This window comes from Homo sapiens, chromosome 11 (genome assembly GCF_000001405.40).
Source record: "Homo sapiens chromosome 11, GRCh38.p14 Primary Assembly".
NCBI classification, from domain to species: Eukaryota; Metazoa; Chordata; class Mammalia; order Primates; family Hominidae; genus Homo; species Homo sapiens.
In genome coordinates this window covers 57,483,535-57,510,506 of record NC_000011.10, presented here as the reverse complement: position 1 = coordinate 57,510,506, position 26,972 = coordinate 57,483,535, and the positions used below count along the sequence as shown (strand labels likewise).

At 50.0% G+C, this 26,972-nt stretch overlaps 1 protein-coding gene across 7 annotated transcripts in view, besides 4 other annotated features; it reads left to right on the top strand.

Moving 5' to 3' along the window:
• SLC43A1 (solute carrier family 43 member 1) overlaps window positions 1-25,973 on the top strand; it is a 31,169-nt gene extending 5,196 nt beyond the window's left edge. For 3 of the 7 annotated variants that reach the window (NM_003627.6, XM_005274358.6, NM_001198810.2), the window contains 13 exons: window positions 9,178-9,355; window positions 9,464-9,519; window positions 9,652-9,728; window positions 12,662-12,754; window positions 14,343-14,476; window positions 16,336-16,514; window positions 18,645-18,791; window positions 18,881-18,916; window positions 19,145-19,283; window positions 21,115-21,256; window positions 21,518-21,591; window positions 23,289-23,412; window positions 25,265-25,973. In NM_003627.6, the coding sequence (NP_003618.1) occupies window positions 9,178-9,355; window positions 9,464-9,519; window positions 9,652-9,728; window positions 12,662-12,754; window positions 14,343-14,476; window positions 16,336-16,514; window positions 18,645-18,791; window positions 18,881-18,916; window positions 19,145-19,283; window positions 21,115-21,256; window positions 21,518-21,591; window positions 23,289-23,412; window positions 25,265-25,411 (1,526 nt within the window). In that variant the 3' untranslated portion in view covers window positions 25,412-25,973. Of the gene's footprint in view, window positions 1-9,132; window positions 9,356-9,463; window positions 9,520-9,651; window positions 9,729-12,661; window positions 12,755-14,342; window positions 14,477-16,335; window positions 16,515-18,644; window positions 18,792-18,880; window positions 18,917-19,144; window positions 19,284-21,114; window positions 21,257-21,517; window positions 21,592-23,288; window positions 23,413-25,264 lie in introns of all 7 variants that reach the window. The other 4 variants (XM_017018452.2, XM_011545320.4, XM_047427777.1 and 1 more) reach the window with 2 other exon arrangements.
• Window positions 8,896-9,669: an enhancer, noted in NCBI's record as "H3K27ac-H3K4me1 hESC enhancer chr11:57268311-57269084 (GRCh37/hg19 assembly coordinates)". NCBI's record gives its function as "activates a minimal SCP1, AML or CMV promoter by ChIP-STARR-seq in naive H9 embryonic stem cells {active_cell/tissue: H9 hESC(naive)}" and the evidence as "EXISTENCE:reporter gene assay evidence [ECO:0000049][PMID:30033119]".
• Window positions 9,670-10,445: an enhancer, noted in NCBI's record as "H3K27ac-H3K4me1 hESC enhancer chr11:57267535-57268310 (GRCh37/hg19 assembly coordinates)". NCBI's record gives its function as "activates a minimal SCP1, AML or CMV promoter by ChIP-STARR-seq in naive H9 embryonic stem cells {active_cell/tissue: H9 hESC(naive)}" and the evidence as "EXISTENCE:reporter gene assay evidence [ECO:0000049][PMID:30033119]".
• Window positions 16,073-17,272: an enhancer, noted in NCBI's record as "MED14-independent group 3 enhancer chr11:57260708-57261907 (GRCh37/hg19 assembly coordinates)". NCBI's record gives its function as "activates an origin of replication core promoter dependent on BRD2, BRD4, P300/CBP and CDK7 cofactors, and independent of MED14, by STARR-seq in HCT116 cells {active_cell/tissue: HCT116}" and the evidence as "EXISTENCE:reporter gene assay evidence [ECO:0000049][PMID:35650434]".
• Window positions 20,516-21,016: an enhancer, noted in NCBI's record as "H3K27ac hESC enhancer chr11:57256964-57257464 (GRCh37/hg19 assembly coordinates)". NCBI's record gives its function as "activates a minimal SCP1, AML or CMV promoter by ChIP-STARR-seq in naive H9 embryonic stem cells {active_cell/tissue: H9 hESC(naive)}" and the evidence as "EXISTENCE:reporter gene assay evidence [ECO:0000049][PMID:30033119]".
• Window positions 25,974-26,972: the final 999 nt, after the last annotated feature.

The following is a 26,972-nucleotide window of genomic DNA, read 5'->3' as shown; positions in this document are numbered from 1 at the left end:
ACAATATGTGTCGTTGCCCATCTTTTTTTTTTTTTTTTTTTTTTTTTTTGAGATGGAGTCTCACTCTGTTGCCTAGGCTGGAATGCAATGGCATGATCTCAGCTCACTGCAACCTCCGCCTCCCAGGTTCAAGTGATTCTTGTGTCTCAGCCTCCTGAGTAGATGGGATTACAGGCGTCCACCACCACGCCCGGCTAATTTTTTGTATTTTCAGTAGAGATGGGGTTTCACCATGTTGGCCAGGTTGGTTTCGAACTCCTGACCTCAAGTGATCCGCCCACCTCGGCCTCCCAAAGTGCTGGGATTACAGGCATGAGCCACCGCGCCCGGCCTGCCCATCTTTTTTTTGTTATAGCCATCCTAGTGGATGTAAAGTTTTTTTGTGATTTTGATTTGTGTTTCCCTACTGATCAATGATGTTGAGCATCTTTTCCTGTGCTTATTGGCTTTTGGTATATCTTTGGAGAAAGGTCTATTCAGGTCCTTTGCCCACTTTAAAATTAGGTTATCTTTCTATTACTGAGATGTAAGAGTTCTTTATGTTCTAGATATAAGTCTCCTACATATGATTTGTAAAAATTTTCCTTCCATTATTGGGTTGTCTTTCACTTTCTTTTGGTGTCCTTTAGTGCACAACAGTTTTTAATATTGAAGTCCAATTTTCTATTTTTCTCTTTTGCCACTTGTATCTTGGTGTCATGTTTAAGGAACTATTGCCTAATCTCAGGTCACAAAGATTTACACCTGTGTTTCCTTCTTTCCTTCCTTCCTTCCTTCCTTCCTTCTTTCCCTCCCTCCCTCTCTCCCTCCCTCCCTCTCTCCCTCCCTCCCTCCTTCCCTTCCTCCCTCCCTCCCTCCTTCCTTCCTTCCTTCCTTCCTTCCTTCCTTCCTTCCTTCCTTCCTTCCTTCCTTTGTCCTTCTGACGGAATCTTGCTCTGTCACCCAGGCTGGAGTGTAGTGGCACGATCTTGGCTCACTGCAACCTCTGCCTCCTGGGTTCAAGCAATTCTCCTGCCTCAGCCTCCTGAGTAGCTGGGACTACAGGCACACACCACCATGCCCAGCTAATTTTTGTATTTTTAGTAGAGACGGGGTTTCACCACATTGGCCAGGATGGTTTCGATCTCCTGACCTCGTGATCCACCCGCCTTGGCCTCCCAAAGTGCTGGGATTGCAGGTGTGAGCCACCATGCCCGGCCTGTGTTTTCTTAGAGTTTTGTAGTTTTAGCTCTTATAGTTAGATCCTTGATCCATTTTGAGTTGATTTTGTATATAGTGTGAGATATCCACCTGGTGTTGTAAATTGCCCAGAAGTGGGTATGCTTCTAAATCTGGCTGTTAGGGATTACTAGAGGTGACCAAAGTGAATTTTTTCTTTGTTTCTTTTTTTTTTTGGAGACAGAGTCTCCGTCACCCAGGCTGGAGTGCAATGGCTTCATCTTGGCTCAGTGCAACCTCTGCCTTCTGGTTTCAAGCAGTTCTCCTGCCTCAGACTCCTGAGTAGCTGGTATTACAGGCGTGTACCACCATGCTTGGCTAATTTTTGTATTTTTAGTAAAGATGCAGTTTCACCTGTTGGCCAGGCTTTTCTGGAACTCCCGGCCTCAAGTGATCCATCTGCCTCTACCTCCCAAAGTGCTGGGATTACAGGTGGGAGCCACCGTGCCCAGTCCTTTTCTCAGAATTTATTTGTTTTTTTTTGTTTTGTTTCATTTTTGAGATAGGGTCTCACTCTGTCAGCTAGGCAGGAGTTCAGTGGTGTGATCATTGCTGCAGCCTTGAACTTCTGGACTCACGTGATCTTCCCACCTCAGCCTCCTGAGTAGCTAGGATTACAGGCATGTGCTTCCACACCTGGCTAATTTTTTAATTTTCTAGGACTTATTTGTCCATTCTTGCAAAGCAGGGTACAACATGCCTATCTCTACCTACCTCTCTTCCCTTCAAGGGACTCCAGCCAAAATCCTTGAGGCTCTCGGGCTGACTGTGGGTGCTGTTGCCTGATCTGCCTCAGTCATGCTGCATGATCAAAAGTGTCCGTTTTCTGCTTCTTGGAACTTTATTCACTTTGGGTGTCAGTCTTCCTCTGCAGTGTCCCAAGAACACAGAATTAGACCAGGAATCTGTGTTGCCATAGTGTGTGGAAAGAGGCAGACTTCCAACTCCGCTATGTGCTGTTGGGTGATTGAAGCTTAATTTTCTTTCTATCTTTCTTTCTTTTCTTTTCTTTTTTTTTTTTGGAGATGGAATCTCGCTCTGTTGCCCAGGCTGGAGTGCAGTGGTGCGATCTCACCTCACTGCAACCTCCGCCTCCCAGGTTCAAGCGATTCTCCTGCCTCAGCCTCCTGAGTAGCTGGGATTACAGGTGCATGCCACCATGCCCGGCTAATTTGTGTAATTTTAGTAGAAACAGTGTTTCACCATATTGGTCAGGCTGGTCTCGACCTCCTCACCTCAGGTGATCCACCCGCCTTGGCCTCCCAAAGTGTCGGGATTACAGGCGTGAGCCACCGTGCCTGGCACTTAATTTTCTTAATACCTCAATTACCCCATATGGTAAAATGGGACTAGTAATCCATACCTTATAGCGCTGTTGTGAAAATGAAATGAGGGTAAGCAGATAAAATTTCAGACTACGGATGGGATTGTTACTACATTCTGAACCTGGCTTTGCTGTTATTTGCTATGTGACCTTATCTTCTCTGGATCTCCATTCTTTCCAAGTCTATAAAACAAAGTGGACAATTGTCAACCTTTCTTCCAAAGAGCAATGATTTAAGGATCAAATGATGTCATTTAACAAAAATATGAAGAGCTCAACAAATGAGGAACTCATTATTATTATTACAATTATTATTATTTTAGAAATAGGGTCTTGTTCTCTTGCCTAGGCTGGAGTCCAGTGGTATAAACACAGCTCAATGCATCTTCAGCCTCCTGGATACAAGTGATCCTCATGTCTCATCCCCCTAAGTAGCTGGGACCACAGGCATGTACCACCACGCACGGCTAATTTTTTATTTTTTATTTTTATTTTTTGAGACAGTCTTGCTTTGTCGCCCAGACTGGAGTGCAGCAGCGCAATCACCGCTCACTGCAACCTCCGCCTCCTGGGTTCAAGTGATTCTGCTGCCTCAACCTCCCAAGTAGCTGGGATTACAGGCCTGTGCCACCATGCCCGGCTAATTTTTTTGTATTTTTGGTAAAGACGGGGTTTCACCATGTTGCCCAGGCTGATCTAGAACCCCTGGCCTCAAGTGATCCCCCTTTCTTGGCCTCCTAAAGTGCTAGGATTACAGGCGTGAGCCTCTGCACCTGGCCTCGGCTAATTTTTTATTTTTTGTAGAGACAGGTTCTCACTATGTTGCCAGGGCTGGTCTTGAACTCCTGGGCTCAAGTGATCTTCCCACCTCAGCCTCCCAAAGTGCTGAGATTACAGATGTGAGCCACTGTGCCTGGCCTGGAACTCATTATTGAAGCATTCACTAGTATCAACTTTGGGGTTACCTGGCCACATCCTCTGACCTACCTATAAGGGTATCACAGCTAACGGAGCCTCTGTTTCTCAGAATTTAGGCAGAAGCAGTTCAATTTATCACAAACTACTCTATATCCAGCATAAGTGCCCAAATAAAACAATTGCTAAAGTTCTTTAGGCATTTACTGTTTGTTAGTTAGATATTTAGTCCTCACTACAAATCTGTGATACAGGTATTATTTTTATTAACCCCATTTTATAGAAGAGAAACCTGAAGCTCAGAGATGCTAAGTAACTTGTGCAAGGTCACACAGCTAGTAAAGGGCAGAGTAAAGATTTAGTTTCACATTGGACTCCAGAACCTTTCTACTGGGACTCATGGGAATAGTGTGGATGTCCCTGACCTTCAGTGGCCCAGGGCTCTCCTGGGGGAATCCAGCCATAGACAAGACACCAGCGAGAGCCCAATCCTAAGATTTTGTTTGTTTGTTTTTGAGACAAGGTCTCACTCTGTCACCAGACTGGAGTGCAGTGGCATGATCAATGCTCACTGCAACCTTGATCTCCCAGGCTCAAGCAATCCTCCCACCTCAGCCTCCTGAGTAGCTTGGACTACAGGTGCACACCACCACACCTGACTAATTTTAAAATTTTATTTAATTAATTACTTACTATTATTTTTTGAGACAGGGTATCACTTTGTCACCCAAGCTGGACTGCAATGGTGTGGTCTCAGCTCATTGCGTCCTCCACCTCCCAGGTTCAAGTGATCCTCCCACCTCAGCCTCTGGAGTTGCAGGGACTGCAGGTGTGCGCCACTATGCTCAGCTAATGTTTTTATTTTTTGTATAGATGGGGTCTCACTATGTTGCCAGGGCTAGTCTCAAACTCTTGGACTCAAGCGATCCTCCTGTCTTGGCCTCCCAAAGTGCCGGGATTACAGGCATAAACCACCACACCCAACCCCTAAGGTGTTTTTGCTGAATGTGACCATGTCAGAGGCAGGAAAGGGAAGCATCATGGGGTTAGGAAAGGAACACTGAGCAGGGAGACAAAGAAAATGGGATCATTTTGTGAGTGTTCGCTGTGTGTGTATGTGTGACAATTCTCAGAGCCAGCCTCTCAGGTGGTTGAGACCACAGTCCCCATTTCCCAGATGAGATAATGGAGCCTCAGAGAGTTTCTGCAGCACAGCTAGTGGAATTAGAATTTGAACCCGGCTCTTCCAGACTCCAGGTGCTTCACAACCATCCCAAACCTAGTCATTTGCAGTTTACCTTCATGATTTTACCATTTCCCTTTGCCATAGCTAGTGTTATTTACTTAATAATTCCTTTTGAATCAGTCTGCTTAAAAAAAAATAGCTTCATTCTAAAGTGTAATATTCTTGGAATATCGGGTTTGCTGTTACCCACCCCCACACGTTATACATATACATGTATGTTTCTAATACATATATATGTACGTATATACGTGTATCGTTTTTTGTTATTTTTTTTGTTGTTGTTAGTTTTTTTTAGATGGAGTCTCTCTCTGTAGCCCAGGCTGGAGTGCAGTGGTGTGATTTCGGCTCACTGGAACCTCTGCCTCCTGGGTTCAAGCGATTCTCCTGCCTCAGCCTCTGGAGTAGCTGGGATTACAGGCACCCACCACTACACCCGGCTAATGTTTGTATTTTTAGTAGAGACAGGGTTTCACCATGTTGGCCAGGTGGGTCTTGAACTCCTGATCTCAAGTGATCCACCTGCTTTGGCTTCCCAAAGTGCTGGGATTATAGGTGCGAGCTACTGCGGCTGGCCAATGTATGTTTTTAATACACATTCAAATAACGAATAACTATGAAACCTGAAAAACTGCTCCATGTTACTTCCTGAACCCATCTTGAGTGCTCACATGCTGTGCATACCACATATTGGGAAACACTGCTTTCCCTGGCTTCCAAGCCCAGCTTAATCACTGTCCCATCCTATGCTTCGCTTTATTTGTCTATAAATGTTGGGGTTGGGGGTTGATGCCAAAGACCTTTTCTGTTGTCATTAACATGGACACAGCTCTAAGAGGTCTTGGCATCTTGGGCTGGCTCTCCTTTTAGTTCAGAATTTGGATTTTTATCCAACTACTCAGAGTGATCAAGCCTTCCTTATGAATGAACTCGTTGGTCAAACTCATAAAAGGCTGATCGATAAAACAGGAATGAATGTATGAATTGACACTAAGTCATTAGCATTTCACGGGAATGGATTCTCCGTTAGTGGAAGAGCACATGTCCTTTCTGGCACTGATGTGTGCTTGGGAAACTTACTGAGCTAACTGGCCCATGTAACACAGAGGCCCTTTGGTGCAGTGGAAAACTGTTGACTTTGGAGATTATCTTGAGTTTGAATCTGAGCCTGCCTGTAAGAAGCTGGCTAACTGAATTGCTTTGCTTCTTGGACCCTTACCATTTATAAAATGGGGACCATTGTACTCACCCTTTAGGGTTATTGCATGGATTAAATGGGATTCTCTATAGAAAATATTGGCACAAAGTAGGTGTAAATTTGCACGCTAGTGGGATTGTTTGTGAGGGAAATTGTCATTTGATTATCAAAGACTTAGGAGCAGGAACAGTGTCTAATTCAGGGACTGCAAATGGAAATGCCAGCTGAGGCCAGGCATTTGCTAATAATTGGGTAAAGCAGGGCAGGTGTAGAATAGCAATGTCTGGGAATTAAAAGAGAGGTGAGGACGTGTATGACCTTGAGAAGGCAAGCCCTGGCAAAAGGGGATGGCCTCCACTCAGCTACAGTCATGCCTAGATCTTCTAACTTTTTATTTTTATTTTTATTTTTTGAGACGGAGTCTTGCTCTGTCACCCAGGCTGGAGTGCAGTGGCGCGATCTCGGCTCACTGCAAGCTCCGCCTCCCGGGTTCACGCCATTCTCCTGCCTCAGCCTCCCAAGTAGCTGGGACTACGGGCGCCCACCACCACGCCCGGCTAATTTTTTTTTTGTATTTTTAGTAGAGATGGGGTTTCACCGTGTTAGCCAGGATGGTCTCGATCTCCTGACTTTGTGATTTACCCTCCTTGGCCTCCCAAAGTGCTGGGATTACAGGCTTGAGCCACCGCACCTGGCCGATCTTCTAACTTTTTAAAGAGAAGCAAGACATCTGGATTTTTATGTGATAACTCCTGATTTTAAACTGGCACCCAATTATAATTTACAACACTATAAGGGTCAACATTGCCAGCAGAGCAAAACATGGGTGGGGGCAACTGCTGGTCACCGGTGTGCAGCCTCTGGTCTAAAATCATCTTTGTATTTCTTCTTGCTTTACGCATTGTCCCAGCACAGTGCTGTTGTATAGTAAATATCCAGTAAGTGGGTGTAGAATGAATAAACCAATGCAGATAAACCTGTAGAGAGGCCGGGCACAGTTGCTCATGTCTGTAATCTCAGCACTTTGGGAGGCCCAGGCAGGCAGATCACTTGGGCCCAGGAGTTCGAGACCAGCCTGGGCAACAGTTGAAACCTCATCTCTACAAAAAATACAAAAAGTAGCCAGGTGTGGTGGCATGCACCTGTAGACACACCTACTCAGGAGGCTGAGGTGGGGGTATCACTTGAACTCGGGAGGTCAAGGCTACAGTGAGCTGGGAAGTCAAAGGTGCAGTGAGCTATAATTGCACCACTGCACTCCAGCCTGGGAGACAGAGTGAGACCCTGTCTCAAAAAAAAAAAAAAAAAAAACCTGTAGAGAAATGACAGTGATCATAAAGATCACTAAATTATAGGGCTAGCCTGATCCCCAAAGGCTGTGTGGTCCAACCCCTAAGTGCTTCCTGGAGGTGTCTGAGCACTTTCCCCACCTCCTTGGCAGCTGGTACTGAAGAAGACTCTCTGTTGTCCAGGACAGTTCCTTCCATGGCTGGTCAACACTCAGGATCTGCCAGGCCTTTGTGTTCTTCCTTATGTCAACACACAGATTCCTTTATCTTTACTCTTCTGCCAACTGCATGACCTTTGGATATGTAAAGTCAGGGGTCATTTTCACTACTGAGGGCAGATGTCCTCTACCACCCCCTAGTATCCAGGCATTATCACATCCCCTTGTCCCCTTGTTGGTTTTTTTGTTTCCTTTTTCTTTTCTTTTCTTTTCTTTTTTTTTTTTTTTGAGACAGGGCCTTGCTCTGTCACCCAGACTGGAGTGCAATGGTGTGATCATGGCTCACTGCAGCCTCGACCGCCCGGGCTCAAGCAATCCTCCCACCTCAGACTCCCAGGTAGCTGGAACTACAGACATGCATCGCCATGCTCGGCTGATTTTTAAAATTTGTTTTGTAAAGACAAGGTTTCCCAATGTTGCTCAGGCTGGTCTTGAACTCCTGGGCTCAAGAGATGCACCCACCTTGGCCTCCCAAAGTCCTGAGATTACAGGTGTGAGCTACTGCACCTGGCCTGGTTTGTTCTTTTAGCAGCACCTGTCACTCTAGAGCTGAGAACTTCCTGTCTCATGTAGTGTGGATGCCCAGCTCCTAGAGTACGTGCTTACCACATGACCCACCAGGAGGGTCAGCTACCCCTTCCTCAGATCCTTCAGGAGCACTTTCTCTGGGCCAGGCACTGTGCAAAGCTCTTTGTTTACTGTCTCCAATTTAATCCTCCTAAGGAGGTCGTGGGTTAGGCATTCTTTGGTCCGGTTTACAGACAAGAAGAAAGTTACTTGGTCAAGGTGCACAGCTAGTAAGGCTGGTGGTGGGAATTCAGACCCTGGTCTGTCTGCCTGCTCCAGGTGCACCCTGAGTTTGCCCTTGGCAGTGCTGCCAAGTGACAACTTGGAGGCCTGGGGGCAGCCACCTCATGACTCACTGAGCATTGAGTAAAGCGAAGCAGCCCTTTGTCTCCTATCACTAGCTTTTCTCCTTAACTTGTCACAACTCCAAGTTGGCAGTTTACCGTTAAGGACAAGTCCTCCAAGTGGACTTCTAGAGGGGACTGGAGGGCAGTGCCTGGTTCTCATTCTGTGCCTCAGCTTCATCACCTAGGGAACGGGATACTTTATTAACTGACTTATGGGGCTGTTGTGTTTAGAACAGTGCCTGGAGCATAGTTAAGTGCTCAATAAGTATTAGCTATTATTTTATCAGACTATCATTTATCGGGAAAGCTTCCTCTAAGTTTTAGTGTTCTTTCTAAATTTCTTTTTTTTATTTAGAGATGGGGTTTTACCATGTTGCCCAGGCTGGTCTCAAACTTGTAGGCTTAAGCGATCTGCCTGTCTCAGCCTCCCACAGTGGTGGGATTACAGGCATGAACTACCACGCCGGGCCATTTTAATGAATTCTTGTTATAGCCATTAGAGTACCACTCACTGCCTTTGCCTTTGCCTCTAGATATGGGGGCACTTCTTGTTGGGGGTCCACAACCCCCTAAGCTTGGACACTGAGTGCATATTACAACTTAGTAAATACTTTTATGTCCAGTATTTCATTTGAGCTAGTTGAAGCCTCAGGCTGTGTGTGCACAAGACTCTCCCAGGGTCAGGTACTAATGGCTGCCATTTCTGGAGCAGCCCCATCAGAGGAGATGTGACTCTAGGGTACCCCCAAAGGCACTTGGCATGGGATTTGAAAGCAGGCCGCCTGACTGTGGGCTGCTGTCTCCTGTGCCCAGCTGTTCCTGGTGTCATGTGCTGAGCCCTCCCTTCCCCCTCCTCAGCTGAGAGCAGCACCAACACCACCCAGGATGAGCAGCGCAGGTGGCCAGGCTGTGACCAGCAGGACGAGATGCTCAACCTGGGCTTCACCATTGGTTCCTTCGTGCTCAGCGCCACCACCCTGCCACTGGGGATCCTCATGGACCGCTTTGGCCCCCGACCCGTGCGGCTGGTTGGCAGGTGAGGTGGCTGGGCTATGGGGAACGGGAGGACAGGGACCGTGCTGCAGGGGGAGGGGAGGGGGGGTGCTCACAGGCCAACCCCTCGCCCTTCCCTGTGTCTCCACAGTGCCTGCTTCACTGCGTCCTGCACCCTCATGGCCCTGGCCTCCCGGGACGTGGAAGGTGAGTTGTCTGTCCTCTTGTGGCCCCACAAGAAAAGAATAGGTGGGATGAAGGCGGATGTTTACCCCAGCTCCCGCCCTTGGCTTCCCACAGCTCCCCAAATGCCCTCATCTGCTGCTTTCCCCTTTCCAGCTCTGTCTCCGTTGATATTCCTGGCGCTGTCCCTGAATGGCTTTGGTGGCATCTGCCTAACGTTCACTTCACTCACGGTGAGTGTCACAGGCCTGGCCTGGCAGCAGAGTTCCCCCGAGTGGGGTGAGGGCAGAGTGAGTGGGGTGAGGGCAGTATGAATGGGCTGGGGGAGGGGCCTGTGGACGCAGATCACTAGATCAAGTGAGTGTGTGAGAAACTGTGCAGGTGGCTGCAAAGAGCAGGTGTGAGGCTGTGTGTGTGTGGATGAGGCTGTGTGTCGGGGTGTATGTTAATGTGTGTGTTTGTGTGTACAGAGCCCATGAATGTCCATGGAGCTCTGTTCTAGGTCCTGGACTACAGCACAATCAGGACTGACCGAGTCATCCTCCCTGCTGGAGGTTACATTTTGGGGGTGAGGGGCACAGATAACCCAATAAACAAGTAAACTAATAAATTATGTCAGTCGTCATAGGTGCTGGGAAGAAAATAAAACTGGGTAACATGATCTTGAGGGGGAGGGAGCAGCTTGAGATAGCGTGTGCACGCTTGCCATGTCGTGGGAGAGTGGGTGTGTGACCCCGTCCCTGTGAAAGCCATGAGTTGGTAGGTGTGTTTGTGAGTGTACTAGGTTGAACCATATGAAATTGTCGACACCTCGTCGTGCACATGGCTTGACCTATTACATGTGGTGAGTGGTGTATGTGTGTTGCTCAAAGTGTGTTTATTTATGTGAGTGTGTAAACGCGTTAAAGGCTTAGGAGTGTTAAAGGCTTAGGGAGGTTGGAGGGGAAGGTTCCTGGCCGGGCTGGCTCGGACTGTTTATCTCTGAGAAGGGCTGCCTGACTGGGTGGTTTTGGCTGAATTTCACCTCTCCCCAGCAGCCGCCTTTAATTCCAACCGGGGACATTTCACAGCTCTAAAGGAAGGAAGCGGATCCCTTTCTCCCCGCCCCTCTGCGCAGCCCCTTCTCCCTGCTGTGCAACTTGGCCCAGGGCCCTAAATCCCTTCTCTCCGGCGCTTGACCTCAGACCCTCCCTGGCGGCCGGGTGGGGCTTGTCCAGCGGCTCCTCCCTGCTATGTCCCCGCCTCCTGTAATCTCCAGCCAATGGCAGGGTCCGGCGCTGGCACCGCCCCTCAGCCTCTCCCCGCTCCCTCTGGCCGGCCCCGCCCCCTGGGCCGCTGCTCTTGGCCCAGACTTGGACGAGGACGTCCCGTGCTGAGTCTTGCGGGCCCAGCTGCTGTTGCCACGCACGCTGCAAGGCCGCCAGCCCGGGGTTAGCCGGCCGGCCTCGCCTTACCCACGGTACTGGGCGCAGACAGCGTTTGTGGCCCCTTGGAGGGGAGGGGGCCCTGCCCCTCTCCAGGCCTGGCAGCCTTCCGTGGCGTCCTTGGCAGTGGTGCCTCACGGATGCAGGGTGCAGGAAAACCTCTGCCTGAGTGGGTAGAGGTTTTTCCTGAGCCAGCCACTTCAGGGGAAGGGGGAAGGATAATTTAGTTATATGTGTTTAAACACCATTTTTTTTTTTTTTGTTGAGACGGAGTCTCGCAGTGTCGCCCAGGCTGGAGTGCAGTGGCGCGATCTCGGCTCACTGCAACCTCTGCCTCCTAGGTTCAAGCAATTCTCCTGCCTCAGCCTCCCGAGTAGCTGGGACTACAGGTGCACGCCTCCACGCCCGGCTAATTTTTTCGTATTTTAGTGGAGACGGGGTTTCACCGTGTTGCTCAGGCTGGTCGCGAACTCCTGAGCTCAGGCAATCCACCCGCCTCGGCCTCCCAAAGTGCTGGGATTACAGGTGTGAGCCACTGCGCCCGGCCTAAACGCCTTTTTTACCAGAGCTGTTGAGGCCTCCCTTCAGAGTCTCAGTTTCCCCCTCTGTGGAGTGTGTTTAGGCTTTGTACGGATCCTAAGGTCCTTCTCAGCTGTGGGATCTAGTGACTTGGGGAGGATGGTGGGGCCAGAGGAGGGTGTGTGCGAAGGGCATCCTGACTTTGCCTTCCCCTGCCCTGAGGGCTTGGCTGAGGCAGGTGAGTGGAACACATGATCAATTAAATTCTCTCCTGGTGTGGGTTCTGACCCTGCTCTGCGTCAGAGCCACCTCCTCTGGAGACTGTCTGCCCTGGCTCAGTTCCCTCCCTTATTTCCACCCTCACCTCCCAGGATGTGATTTGTCCTGATTAGGCAGAAACTGGGCTGGGACGTCAACCGAGAGGGTTAAGAGGCACTGCCTATTACCGGGACACAGCCATGGTCACAGCCTTGGGTTAGGGCTGGGACAACGACAATGGGGAGAAAGCCATTAATGTGCTCTGTGAACTTGAGTACACTTTTCCTCCCTGGGTCTCAATTGTCTCATCTCAAATGGGTTGGACAAGATCACTGTTTCTTTCTTTTCTTTTCTTTTTTTTTGGGGGGTGGGGACATAGTCTCGCTCTGTCACCCAGGCTAAAGTGCAGTGGTGCGATCTCGGCTCACTGCAACCTCCACCTCCCAGGTTCAAGCGATTCTCCTGCCTCAGCCTCTGGAGTAGGTGGGATTACAGGCGCATGCCACCATGCCTAGCTAATTTTTGTATTTTTGGTGGAGATGGGGTTTCACCATGTTGTCCAGGCTGGTCTTGAACTCCTGACCTCAAGCTTCCCACCAGCTTCGGCTTCCCAAAGTGCTGGGATTACAGGCATGAGCCACTGCGCCCAGCCAAGATCAGTGTTTCTTAAGCACCTATTCCATGTGTTTTTCAGAGGTGTTACGTAACAAACTTGGGAAACCTGGAATTAAACAAAATTAACAAAATGTCTCTCTGAGGGGTGTCTGGGAGCCTTTTTGAAGCTAAAGGGCACTGTGACTGTGTAGGCAGGGGGCAGAGTACAGTTTCCCACATTGATTTTTCTGTTTGTTTTACCTTGGGGCTTTTCTGCTGCGTCTCCTGGGGCTATTGTATGGAGCAGGGCTGGGAATGCTGGGCAAGGGTCACGGTGTCCCCACCTCATGGGTGCTGCTTTCCCTCCTCAGCTGCCCAACATGTTTGGGAACCTGCGCTCCACGTTAATGGCCCTCATGATTGGCTCTTACGCCTCTTCTGCCATTACGTTCCCAGGAATCAAGGTATGAGGCCACCTGGGTTTTCTTTTTGTCTTGACACAAGAACCGGGTGGGGCCGAGTGAGCAGCAGCTAGTGCTGACCCACGGGTCTGACTTCTCCGCTCTCCTTTCTCTGTCATCATCCCAATGCAGGCCTTCCCCCTCTCTCCTGGGCCACAGCAAGCTTTCTCAGCTGGTCTCCCTGCCTCTGATTCTTTTTCTCTGTACTCTGTCACTCACGTGACTTCCAGAAAGATCTCAGATGGGGAACTGGCTCACACACTGCTGAAAAACCTTCAGTGGTTTAGCTTCACCTACAGAATCAAGTCCAGCCCCTTCACATGCGTTCAAGGTCCCTGACTCTCTGGCTTTATTCAGCCTTTGGGGCCACATTTTTCCACACCTTCCAGAGAGGATGGGTGGTTTGGTCCAAGGTCACAAAGTGAGTTTATGCCAGGCTGGATCCTGGACAGGTCAACCTGGTGTACCTCGAAGCCAGGGGACCAAAGTTTTAGCTCAGTGCAAGATGGGGGCCTCAATTTCCTCTGTCAAATATCAAAGGACCCTTTGACTGAGCCATGCCATGCTCCTCAACCTCCACGGTGGGCAGTACCAAACTGCATACCGTTTTGCACTTTACAAAGAGTACTAAAGAAGGTACTTTTGCTCAGTGTCTCCAAAGGAGTTTGAGAGAGCGCATGGGTGGGGGGGCCATCAGTTGTTCTGGTGGGCAGGCATGGAGGGTGGGCAGTTCTCCCTTCTTTTCAACTGAAGTAGTGTTTGAAGAGCCAGATCTTACCTCCACACATTTGGGGGTGTGGCCCTTTGAAGCTCTGTCCTGCCCCTAGGGAGGAAAAGGCACCAAGGTCCAAGACTGCAGAGAAAAAGGTTTGAGCAGGAGCCTGAGGGGAGAGCAGACATTAATTATCCTGGTCAGATGGTATGGGGAGGACAAGAGGACAGATGGTGCATCAGCTTCTTCCATAAGAAGGGCTGACACATTTGCACAGAATCTCATTCAATTGAGAACTTACCTGCCCTGGGGTTGAGAGCCCTTGGGCAGAGCACTTGCACCTCCCTCTCCCCAACCCCCCCAGTTGTTGCACGTGGGAGGACCTGGGAAAGGTGAGAAAAGGCTGAGCATGAGCAGTCTGGGTTTGCCTTTTCCCCTGGGGAATGTGCCAGGAAGGGGCAGGATAAACACGATTAGGCCCGGTAAACCTAGAGCACTAAGTTTCCTTTGTACGTACTATGAAATGGACATTTTTGTGCGAACATGAACATGAATGTTTGTGGAGTCATAGGCAAAAATGTATGTATTTTTTTAAGATAATGGAAATTTCAGAGATATTTTGAGCCAGTGGCCAGCAACTTCAGGCTTTGTGGAGACTATTTCATAGCTCTCTAGGGGGCCTCAAGTGAAAAAGAAAAAGGAATGATGGGTCTTCTGAGTCTGACTCTAAACTTCTGGTCTTGGTTTCCTCATCTGCAAATTGGGCACAAGGACAAGGGGAGAAGAGAACTTCTTTAAGGCCTCTGAGGCCTGGGATCTACCTTGGTGGGGTCTGGGGCCAGGCAGTCTCCCCCACGGGCCTGCCCCCTCCTCTCACAGCTGATCTACGATGCCGGTGTGGCCTTCGTGGTCATCATGTTCACCTGGTCTGGCCTGGCCTGCCTTATCTTTCTGAACTGCACCCTCAACTGGCCCATCGAAGCCTTTCCTGCCCCTGAGGAAGTCAATTACACGTGAGTGGCTGGAGTGGGCAGAGACTCTCCCTGGGGCAGAGAGGGCTGTGGTGATATGATAGACGGAATTAACTTTGGATTCAGAGAGACCTCGGCTTGGACCTCTGCTTGGCAAATCGCTTGAGCCCTCCAAGCTCTGCTTTCTCATCTGTACTATGAGCCTGTTCCTACCTACCCACAGGTCGCTTTTGTTTGTTTGTTTGTTTAGAGGCAGTGTCTTGCTCTGTCACTCAGGCTGGAGTGTAGTGTCTTGGTCCTGGCTCACTGCAACCTAAAACTGCTGGGCTCAAGCGAACCTCTCCCTCTGCCTCCCGAGGAGCTGGGGTTACAGGCACACACCACCATGCCCAGTTAATTTTTTTATTTTTTGTAGAGACAGGGCTTACTGTGTTACCTAGGCTGGTTTTGAACTCCTGGCCTTAAGGGATCCTCCCCCCTTGCCCTTCCAAAGTGTCCGATTACAGGCGTGAGCCACTGTGCCCAGCCTCCCATGGGTGTTTTTAAGTAATACAGTTGGCACATAACAGGTGGTCAAAACATGGTAAATATTTATTTATTTATTTATTTATTTTTGAGACAGAGTCTCATTCTGTCGCCCAGGCTGGAGTGCAGTGGCATGATTTCAGTGAACTGCAACCTCTGCCTCCTGAATAGCTGGGATTACAGGCACGCGCCACCACACCCAGCTAATTTTTGTATTTTTTAGTGGAGACGGGGTTTCACCATGTTGGCCAGGCTGGTCTTGAACTCCTGGCCTCAAGTGATCCGCCTGGCTCAGCCTCCCAAAGTGCTGGGATTGCAGGCGTGAGCCACCATGCTCAGCTCATGGTAACTATTTATGTGGGTGCAAAAGTAATTGTGGTTTTTGCCATTAAAAGTAATGGGCCAGGCGCAGTGGGTCATGCCTATAATCCCAGCACTTTGGGAGGCCGAAGAGGGTGGATCGCCTGAGGTCGGGAGTTCTAGACCAGCCTGACCAACATGGAGAAACACCGTCTCTACTAAAAATACAAAATTAGCTGGGTGTGGTGGTGCATGCCTGTAATCCCAGCTAGTCAGGAGGCTGAGGCAGGAGAATCACTTGAACCCTAGAGGCTGAGGTTGCGGTGAGCCGAGATCGTGCCATTGCACTCCAGCCTGGGCAACAAGATCAAAAACTCCGTCTCAAAAAAAAAAAAAAAGTAATGACAAATACTGTTTTCATCCTTTCTGGGTTTGGAGGAGATCTGAGTAGGAGGCACCTCAGCAATGGCACTCGATGCCATGTGGTCCCAAAAAGAGGGACATAAAAGAATCAAGCACCCCATCTTTTGTGGAGCCACCTGAATGCCAACTTTTTCCAGCCCCCTGTCAGTTCAGCAGAGGCAAGAGGTGATACTCCACACCAAGCACATAAGGTGACATTACAGAACTGACAGTTATGCCAGGCACTGTACTTAGCCCCTATACCATCCTCAAACAGCTGTATGATGTAGATTGGGTATTAACCCCATTAATAACAAAAGTACAGGGAACAAAGTGACTTTCCAAAGGTCATGCCATTCAAAGGAGGGTGAATCTTAGGTTGGACGCAGGCTGTCTGACTCTGGAGTCTGAGGTGTTAATGCTGCCTCCTCCATGGGAACAGCCCAAGTGAAAAACAGCTGATCCACTCTTCATTTACTTGGCATCTGTGCTAAGCTGGTCCCTGAGCCAAGCTCTGAGCAACAGAAACAGAAGCTCTGCATTAGGAGCTTGTGAGCATGTCAATGCCGGGTAAAGGAGTGCTGGAAACCGCTGGGATGGCCGCCGAGCACTAGGCCGTTGAAGGTGGGCTCTGTGTGACTGGTTCCTCTACACTCTGGCCTGGCTGCCTGCAGGAAGAAGATCAAGCTGAGTGGGCTGGCCCTGGACCACAAGGTGACAGGTGACCTCTTCTACACCCATGTGACCACCATGGGCCAGAGGCTCAGCCAGAAGGCCCCCAGCCTGGAGGACGGTTCGGATGCCTTCATGTCACCCCAGGATGTTCGGGGCACCTCAGAAAACCTTCCTGAGAGTGAGTGTCTGGTCAAGGTGCCGGCCTTGGGGGATAGTGATGGTGGGTCCTCATATTCAGTGAGCACTCATGGTTGAGTATTTATTCGCACCCCTCTTCAGTCCTTACAACACCCCATGATGTAGGTGGGGCATGCTCCTCATTTACAGATGGGCACATCAAAGCTCAGCTAACGCTGGGAAGTTCAGATTCAGGGTTACCCTGCTGGATTCCTGGGATTGGGGAGGGAGGAGCTTCCAAAATGGGGACAAGGTCTCTGGGCCTGTCGGGTAGCTGGTTTCCTCAGGGCCCCTTGCAACCTCTGAGCTTATTGCATCAGGTGCAGCCAGGCCCGTGAGCCTCCTGGCAGGGGTCCTCCACACCTGGCTGTCTTTTGCCCCCTGCTGGTCACAGGAGGAGCTGCAGCACCTGCCTGGGCTGCTTCTCAGGAGGGTACATGAAGATCCCAGGACCGCCAGCTCCATGATAAGTGGAAGGAGCTCCTTGGAGTCAGGAGCGGGAGTTGAGGAGTTTGAGTCCTGCTCTCCAGTTATAGGCTATGTGACTTGTGTAGATCACCTAACCTTGCTCTTGATTTCCTTACCTCTTAAACTAGCACTAAAAGCACCCCACAAACTGTAAAGTTAGTTGTGATGATTGAATGACACCATGGGTGTGGAAGCTCTTTGTAAAGTGCAAAACGGTGTGCAGTTTGAGGGTGGTTACCCCCAGTGCCGATTCTCAGAGGGCAACATGGCTAAGGGCACGAGCTGGAGTTAGGCTGACCTGCTGCTTCCAGCCCTGTGAGCTTGAGCAAGTCATTTAACTTCCTGAGCTGCAGTTTCCTCATCAGTAAAATGTGATAAGGATAGGGTTGTTGTAAGATTTTATTAAATGGGGTAATAAATGTCAAGTATGTAGCCCATAGTGAGTGCTTCAGAGTTTTTTTCTTTTGTTTCTTTCCCCCCCGCCCCGAGATGGAGCCTTACTCTGTTGCCCAGGCTGGAGTGCAGTGGCATGATCTTGGCTCACTGCAACCTCCGCCTCCCGGGTTCAAGCAATTCTCCTGCCTCAGCCTCCCAAATAGCTGGGACTACAGGCGTGCACCACCATGCTCGGCTAATTTTTGTATCTTTAGTAGAGACGGGGTTTCACCATGTTGGCCAGGCTGGTCTCGAACTCCTGACCTCATGATGCTCCTGCCTCAGCCTCCGAAAGTTTTGGGATTACAAGTGTGAGCCACCGTGCCCTGCCAGGTTTTTTTTTTTTTTTTTTTTTGTAAAATAGAGACAGGGTATTGCTGTTGCCTGGGCTGGAGTGCGGTAGTGCAATCATAGTTCACTGCAGCCTTGACCTCCTGGGCTCAAGTGATCCTCCTGCCTCAGCCTCCTGAGTAGCTGGGAATACAGGTGTGCACAACCATGCCTGGCTTATTTTTTTATATATATATATATATATATATATATATATATATATACACAAAATTATATATATTATATTATTATATATTATATTATATATTATATTATTTTTTATATATAAATTATATATATATTTATATTATATTTTATATATATATATATTTTTTAGAGATAGGGTCTTGCTATGTTGACCACCAGGCTGGTCTTGAACTCCTGGGCTCAAGCAATCCTCCTGCCTCAGCCTCCTGAGTAGCTGGGAATACAGGTGTGCACCACCATGCCTGGCTTATTTCATATATATATATTTTTATATATATGTATATTTATATATATAAATATATATATAATTTCTGTATATAAATAAATAAATAAATATATATATATATTTTTAGAGATAGGGTCTTGCTATGTTGACCACCAGGTCTTGAACTCCTGGGCTCAAGTGATCCTCCTACCTCTGCCTTTCAAAGTGTTGGGATTACAGGCGTGAGCCATGGCACCTAACTGAGTTATTTTTACCACACGAAGCATAGGACATACATCCAAAAATGTTCTGAGCTGAGCAAGAGCCTGGAGGCAAGTGAATCTGAACTTTCCCGTCTTTGAAGAAACCAGTCTCTCTCCAAAGTCACATAGTTAGTGTCACTCCCCCCAAGAACTGCATGAGCTGGGACAATCAGAGGGCAGTGGAAGGTCTGGGGCTCAGGGGCGCCCCCTGCTGTCTCCCCAGGGTCTGTCCCCTTACGCAAGAGCCTCTGCTCCCCCACTTTCCTGTGGAGCCTCCTCACCATGGGCATGACCCAGCTGCGGATCATCTTCTACATGGCTGCTGTGAACAAGATGCTGGAGTACCTTGTGACTGGTGGCCAGGAGCATGGTGAGGCACCGCTGAGGCCCCTGGGGGTTGGGGGCACAGGCGGGTCACCCTGGCTGAGCTCCCCTCACCATACGTTTCCCTACCCACAGAGACAAATGAACAGCAACAAAAGGTGGCAGAGACAGGTAGGGCTATGAAAGCAGGGCCCTGGCTCACGCCCACCCCACTGCAACCCGCTTCTCAGGGGGCGGGACTCCTCTAGGCCTGGGCCCACCCAGGTAACCCTTTTGTGGGATGTAAGAGTCTGGGTTCAGAGGAAGGCTATTTTGGTGCTCTCTGGCCTCCGCTGGAAGGGGTGATAGTGTCCACTGAGTGCCAGTTCCTGACCCCACTGCCCTTCCCATCCTGCCCAGTTGGGTTCTACTCCTCCGTCTTCGGGGCCATGCAGCTGTTGTGCCTTCTCACCTGCCCCCTCATTGGCTACATCATGGACTGGCGGATCAAGGACTGCGTGGACGCCCCAACTCAGGGCACTGTCCTCGGAGATGCCAGGTGACCTGCCTGTACAGGGATGGTGACAGCAAGTGGTCAGGCAGTGCTTTTCATTTTCTCTGTGCGTTTACATCCAGCAACTTGTTGCTTTCTCCCAAGAACCCTAGGAGATCAGGGGTACCTCCCCATTTTACAGATGAGGAAACTGAGGCTAGGAAGGGACCTGGCTTGCTTAATAATAAGAATAGCTAATGCAGAGTGCTGACTGTGCACTTGGCACCTTGCCTTGTTTAGTCCTACAACACCTCTTTGAGGTAGATGCGTTAATATCTTCATTTTGCAGTTGAGGAAACCGAGGTACAGGGTTGCACAGTTAGGTCATTCACCCAAGATCACACAGCTTTCAGTGGCAGCCTCCAGAACCTGTGTTATAAGGGTACACGCTAAAGTCTTGTTAGGGCTAGAATAGGTAGAGTTGGTATATTAGATATTTATTGCTGTATAACAAATCACCCCAAGGCTTGGCATTTTAAAACAACAAACACTTCTCATCTCATACAGTTTCTGACAGTCAGAAATCAGGGAGAGACTCAGCCGGCTGATTCTGAGTCACAGTCTCTCATGAAGACATAGTCAGGCTGTCAGCCAGGGCTGCAGTCATCTGAAGGGCTGACTGGGGTTGGAGAATCTATGTCAGTTCAATTACCCCCATGGCCTCTCCATAGGGCTGCTCAGGACACAGCACCTGCTTTCCCTTGAGCAAGAGGGCTAAGCGACAGAGACCCCGTATCTTCTCTCACATAATCTCAGACGTAGCATACCATCACTTCTGTTACGTTCTATTATAGGCACAGAGCAACCCTGATATACTGTGGAAGGAGACTGGACAAAGCAGGGGAATACCAGGAGGCAGGATCCTTGAGGGCTGTCTTGTTGGCTGGAGACCACCATTGAGGGTTTTTTTTTTTTTTTTTATTGAGACAGTCTTGCTCTGTCGCCCAGGCTGGAGTGCAGTGGCACGATCTCAGCTCACTGCAACCTCTGCCTCCCAGGTTCAAGCGATTCTCCTGCCTCAGCCTCCCGAGTAGCTGGGATTCACCATGGAGTCTTGAACCCAGATTCTGTGACTGCTTTTGCTCTTTTTGTGTTCATCCAAACAGTCCCTGTTTATCCTAAGAGGATGGGAGAAAGAGACTGGGAGAGAAGGAAATCCAGTGGCCTCCCTCCCTGCTAGCAGAGCCTGGCCCTGGCACTGAGCCTTCCTCCTCTACCCTCTGCTCCTAATGGTGAGGGTCCCCTAGCAGGGCCCTTCTGTCCAGGACACATGGGCCGCCTGTCCTCACCCCAGCCTACTGACCTCTCTCCTGGGCTGGCCTCAGTGCCCTTGATTGTGCCGGAGAGAGGAAGCGCTGGACAGTCAGGCCAAGCTGCTGTCCCCAGGAGGGCATCTGCTTATGTCTAGGGCAGGGACACCTTCCTGAGGACTTCTGATGAGAGACGGTGTGAGAGCTTCCCACTTCCCACCTTCCTTCCCATCCTTGGTTCTCAAACCTTCAAGTGTGCATGAGAATCACTTAGTGGGGGATATTTGTCCAAATGCAGATTTGCAGATATCCCCGCTGAGATTCTGAGGGCCGAGATGAGGCCTGTGAATCTGCATGTTAAGAAAGCACCCGCTTTGATGCGTGTGTCATTGGGTAGGGGAGCAACACTTTGAGAAACATGGAGCTAGAGAACGTGGGTTTCTATGGGTTTCCCATAGAAACATGGATTTCTGTGTTTTCTGCTGCCCTGACATCGAAGGCACATCTGAAGGGGGAGGGGCCAGGCCAAGAACCAGGGAGTCCTGGGAACGTAGAGGCAGCAGCCAGTGACTTCCCGTACTCCTCAGGGACGGGGTTGCTACCAAATCCATCAGACCACGCTACTGCAAGATCCAAAAGCTCACCAATGCCATCAGTGCCTTCACCCTGACCAACCTGCTGCTTGTGGGTTTTGGCATCACCTGTCTCATCAACAACTTACACCTCCAGGTACCCACCTTCATCCTTCCCCTCTCCCTGCCTCCCGAGGCTCCTCCAAAGGGATGGTCCATCCAGCACCTGCCTTCCAGGAAGCGCAGTTCTGGTCTTCTGATCTGGATCTATTTTCCGGGTTCTCCAGGAAGTGTTTCTAGTAGATTGGGTTGGCGAGGGGGTGGGAATTGAGGCCCAGTTGGCCTCTTCGCCCTACCCCTCCTTCCTCCAGCCTCCACACACTCTCCTAACCTCTTCACTCTCTCTTTTTGGTTTTAGTTTGTGACCTTTGTCCTGCACACCATTGTTCGAGGTTTCTTCCACTCAGCCTGTGGGAGTCTCTATGCTGCAGTGTGAGTCTGTTGGGCTGAAATGCCTTCCTGAGCTTTGCAACCGTGATCAGAGAACCCCAGGGAAGGGTTGGGAGGGCCCCAGGCATCCCCTAATGCACCTCTCTCTGAGACCCTCTGATGGCAGGGAGCTCACTTCCTTAAAGGCAGCCTATCCTGCTGTAATTGACTCCCCCTGTTGGAGTCTTCCCTTAGAGGAAGCTGAAATACCTGGCTTGATGACACTTTGGTTCTATGTCTGCTGTTTGAAACGGCCCCCAGAATGGCCTCCCCTCCATGCCCACCCTGAAGAAATTTCCCAAGGGCAGCCATTTGCCTTATAATTTTCCTCTTCATGTTGGACAGTCCCCACTTGCATCTCTCTCCTGGTTTCCCCTGCTGGGCGCTGCTGAGGGACTCTCCCCTGTGTATGTGATGGAGTAACAGGACATTACAATAATGATGACAAAATGACAACCATTATCAAGTGCTCCGTTGGTGCAGGCAGCAGGCAGGATCCTTGACCATCACTCCCTGAGTTCAGCCTCACTGCAGCGGTCTCGGCAGAGGGCAGCTCTCTTTCCTTCATCTGCTCAAGCCAGAACCCTGGAGTTTCCTTGATGTTTCTCTCCCTCACACTCCATGTTCACTCCGTCCTCAGTACAGCCAGCAGCAGCTTCTACACACCCCAAATCTGACCCTTCTTGTCACCTCCACTGCTGCCTCTCCAGTCCTAGCCACCAACATCTCTAGCCTGGATTATTGTGGCAGCCTTTAGTCTCCCACATCTGCCCTGGCCCCGCTGTCTCAGTCTATTTTTAACACAGGGGCTGCAGTCACCTGTCAGGACATAAGTCTCTTCACATCACTCTGTGGTGTCCTGTCTCATCTGTCTCAGAGTAAAAGCCAAAGGCTTTACTATGGCCTAAAAAGCCCTGCAAGCTCTGGCCCCAGCACTTCACTCCCCTCTAGCTCCCCCTCCTCCATTGTTCACTCTGCCACAGCCACAGTGCTTCCTAGTGCTCCGGAAGTCTCAAGTGTGTTCCCTGCTTGGCATCTTTGCATGTACTAGTCCCTGTTTCTAGAACATTCTTCTCCAGATATCTGCAAGGTGCCCAATCTTACCTTCTCTCCTTCTTCAGGTCTTTCCCTGACTGTCCTCTTCTCAGTGAGGCCTCCCTTGGCTGTCCCATGTACAATTGCAACCTCCCTACTGCCCGCTTCTCTGCTTGGTTTTTCTCAGCGTTTATCACTAACACTCTGCCTATCTCTTGCTTATTGTCTGACCGCCACCTGCTCCATGGGAATGCCACCTCCTCGATGGCAGGAATCTGTTGACTTGCTTGATCGTGGTATCTCCAGCACCTAGAGCAGTGCCTGGCACATAGTAGGTTCTCAGCTAAATGTTTGTTGACAGAATACAGTGGACAGTCCTGCGAGGTCAATGCCATCCCTGTTATTAGTGGAGGAAGTGGGGCTCAGGGAGTTTGAGCCACTTGCCAATATCACACATACAGGAGGTGTGAGAACCCAGCTCAGTGGCCCTGAAGTTGGAGCATTTGCCCTCAAGGCTGGGGACCAAAGAGCCCATGCAAAGAGCCCGAACGCTTAAGCACCACCCTGCCTGGCCAGCGGGGACCATGGTGGGGAGGGGATAGGAGAGGTGCTGGCCTGGGCTGGAGAGGGCCACACACCCCTGATACTCCCCGTCTCGTGGACAGGTTCCCATCCAACCACTTTGGGACGCTGACAGGCCTGCAGTCCCTCATCAGTGCTGTGTTCGCCTTGCTTCAGCAGCCACTTTTCATGGCGATGGTGGGACCCCTGAAAGGAGAGCCCTTCTGGGTGAGAGCGAGGGTTGGTGTGGGGGGAGCAGGAGCCACTCTCCTGGGGGCAGGGGTAGGGCCTTGTATGTGGTGCCATCCCTCACTCATCTCAGCCAGAGGCACCTCAGAGGTCTCTAATCTGCAGGTTTCCAAGTTGTCTGCCTTTTAGAACCCCTCACGGAGTGTTAAAAATACAGATTCCCCAGTCCCCTGAATCAGGATATCTCAGCCTGACTGTAGGAGTCTGTTTTTGTTTTTAATTTATTGTTATTTTATTTATTTATTTATTTTTATTTTTATTTTTTGAGACGGAGTCTCATTCTGTTGCCCAGGCTGGAGTGCAGTGGTGCGATCTCGGCTCACTGCAAGCTCCGCCTCCCGGGTTCATGCCATTCTCCTGCCTCAGCCTCTCAAGTAGCTGGGACCACAGGCGCCCACCACCACGCCCAGCTAATTTTTTTTTTTTTTTTGGATTTTTAGTAGAGACGGGGTTTCACCATGCTAGCCAGGATGGCCTCGATCTCCCGACCTCGTGATCTGCCCTCCTCAGCCTCCCAAAGTGCTGGGATTACATGCCTTAGCCACCGCGCCCGGCCCTATTGTTTTTTTTTTTTTGTAGAGAAGGTGTCTTGTTCTGTTGCCCAGTCTGGAGTGCAGTGGTAAAATCACAGCTCACTGCAGCCTCTGATTCCTGGGCTCAAGCGATCCTCCGGCCCCAGCCTTCTGAGTAGCTGCAACCACAGGTGATGGCTACCATACCTGGCTAATTTTTTAAAAAAAAATTTTGTACAGATAAACAGGGTCTTGCCATGTTGCACAGGCTAGTCTTAAACTCCTGGCCTCAAATGATCTTCTCACCTTGGCCTCCCAGAGTGCTGGGGTTACAGGCGTGAGCCACAGTGCCTGACCTCCTAGGAGTCTGTTTTTAGTAAACTCCAGGTGCTTTGTGAAGTGGCCAGTCCTGACTCTTGGGCCTGTGTTCAGGCACCATTGGTCCAATCCAGTTCTACCTAGTGTGGGATCCTGTCTCCAGCACCCCTGAAAGGGGACCCTTCCCTCTTAGCTTAGATACCCTCAGTGGTAGGGCACCCACTCCTGCACGAGGCAGCCCTGCTGCTGTTAGTAAGTCTTTTCCTTACATTGAACTCATCTGCCTCCCTGACGCTGATCTTTCATCTGCCCTGTGGGGCCACCCACACGTAAACCCTCCTCCCAAAGAATTGTGATGAAATAACTGCTTCTATTTACCAAGCACTCACTATGTGCTAAGCATGATGCATACTTTTTTTTAACTTACATCTTCGCCACAACAGCCCTGAGAAGGAGGCACTCAGTAAGAATTGCCATTATTTGCCCAAAGTCACACAGTGAGTAATGCAGAGTGGGATGTGAACCGAGTCAGAGCCCGCGTGTCCTGGGCCTTCCAAGCCTTCTGTCCACCAGGCTGTGCATCCCAGTTCCTTGAACTGTGTCTGAGAGCCTCCTCTCGCCACCCTGAACGGGATCCCATTGGTTAACATCTCCAAAGGTCAGAGGGGTGAGCCCAGAAGGCCCCATTTCGGGAGCAGCCTGACCAGCCCAGACTCCTACAGTGCTGTGCCTTCCTCATACCTACCTAGTGAGTGCCATATGGTGTGGGCACCCACCAGGCCCTGCCACTTGTTATACCTGAGAAGTCTCATCTCAGCCACTTTGCAGAATTGCTGAACATTAAGTGAGATACTGGTGGAACAATGACTACACATAATAAGTACTAGCTGTATTTATTCTGGCTCAGGACCTGGAGAAAAATGGCCGCCTTCTCCTCCCTGTGGGAGGCTAAGGGCAGATGACTACCTACTTGACTCTGTTTCTCTCTCCTTGCCCTAAAGGTGAATCTGGGCCTCCTGCTATTCTCACTCCTGGGATTCCTGTTGCCTTCCTACCTCTTCTATTACCGTGCCCGGCTCCAGCAGGAGTACGCCGCCAATGGGATGGGCCCACTGAAGGTGCTTAGCGGCTCTGAGGTGACCGCATAGACTTCTCAGACCAAGGGACCTGGATGACAGGCAATCAAGGCCTGAGCAACCAAAAGGAGTGCCCCATATGGCTTTTCTACCTGTAACATGCACATAGAGCCATGGCCGTAGATTTATAAATACCAAGAGAAGTTCTATTTTTGTAAAGACTGCAAAAAGGAGGAAAAAAAACCTTCAAAAACGCCCCCTAAGTCAACGCTCCATTGACTGAAGACAGTCCCTATCCTAGAGGGGTTGAGCCTTCTTCCTCCTTGGGTTGGAGGAGACCAGGGTGCCTCTTATCTCCTTCTAGCGGTCTGCCTCCTGGTACCTCTTGGGGGGATCGGCAAACAGGCTACCCCTGAGGTCCCATGTGCCATGAGTGTGCACACATGCATGTGTCTGTGTATGTGTGAATGTGAGAGAGACACAGCCCTCCTTTCAGAAGGAAAGGGGCCTGAGGTGCCAGCTGTGTCCTGGGTTAGGGGTTGGGGGTCGGCCCCTTCCAGGGCCAGGAGGGCAGGTTCCCTCTCTGGTGCTGCTGCTTGCAAGTCTTAGAGGAAATAAAAAGGGAAGTGAGAGACTGGCTGGTGTGCGCCTGTCTTTGGCGGTTGGTGGGGGGTGTCTTCCCACACCCCCATCCTTCTTCACCCAGGCTCAGCTGGGCATTAACTAGGACGCTTGGCATGCCAGCCCGTTCGCCTCTGGCTGTCTGGCTCACCTCCCTGTTCCCAACCATGCCCTGCCCTTAGTGCTTGGAGGGAGTCCAGCTCCTGCCCCCTACTTCCCAGGATTTGGGGTACATCCAGGAAGCTGGCTTTTCTCCATACAGAGGATTAGGACAGAATGCTTTAGAAAGAATGCTAAGGTATGACTCAAACTTCCCACCATAGCATCCCTAGGGCCTGCCGAAAGTAACACTTTTTTGGAGTCTCCTATTTTATCTTAAAACTTTATGCAAATTTTGAGCTTCCTTGTTATACTATATTTACATTTACCTTTAACATTAAAGTGAGGCTTTAAAGTAAATAAATAAATAACGTGAAGCTTTAAAATTATCTATATCAAGAGAAGACACCATCAGTGAGGACAAGAGATCCTGCAGAAAGACATACCTTATTTATCCAGCCCTGCACCTGCTTGTGCCTCTGGGACATAAGCCCTGGAGGTTAGAGCAAGTCCCCAAATGAAGGGAAAACTAACATTGGTTTAGGATCTGTCTGTTCTACACAGCTATCTCATTTTATCCAAACTATAGCCTAAGAGGTTGGTGTTGTCATTCTTTCTTGTCGCTGTAGGAAACAAGCCCAGAGAGGTTAAGGCACACACCCAAGGGCACACAGTGTTAGGTGGTGGAGCTCAATTTGGAACCTCGGCAGTCTGTGGAAAGGATAGCTCTGCAGAAAGGAGGTCCCAAGCTTCTTTCCGGTTCTCAGCTGCTCCTGGGGCCAAGAGTGACCTCAGAGGCCTTGGCCATCTCCCCCACCTCCAAAGGTTGGCTCTGTAAGACAGCATTCCAGCTAAGCCATTTTCCCTCCCTTTGTCTTTGTTTCTCTTGAGAAGTTAATAAGAGAGACTGTCC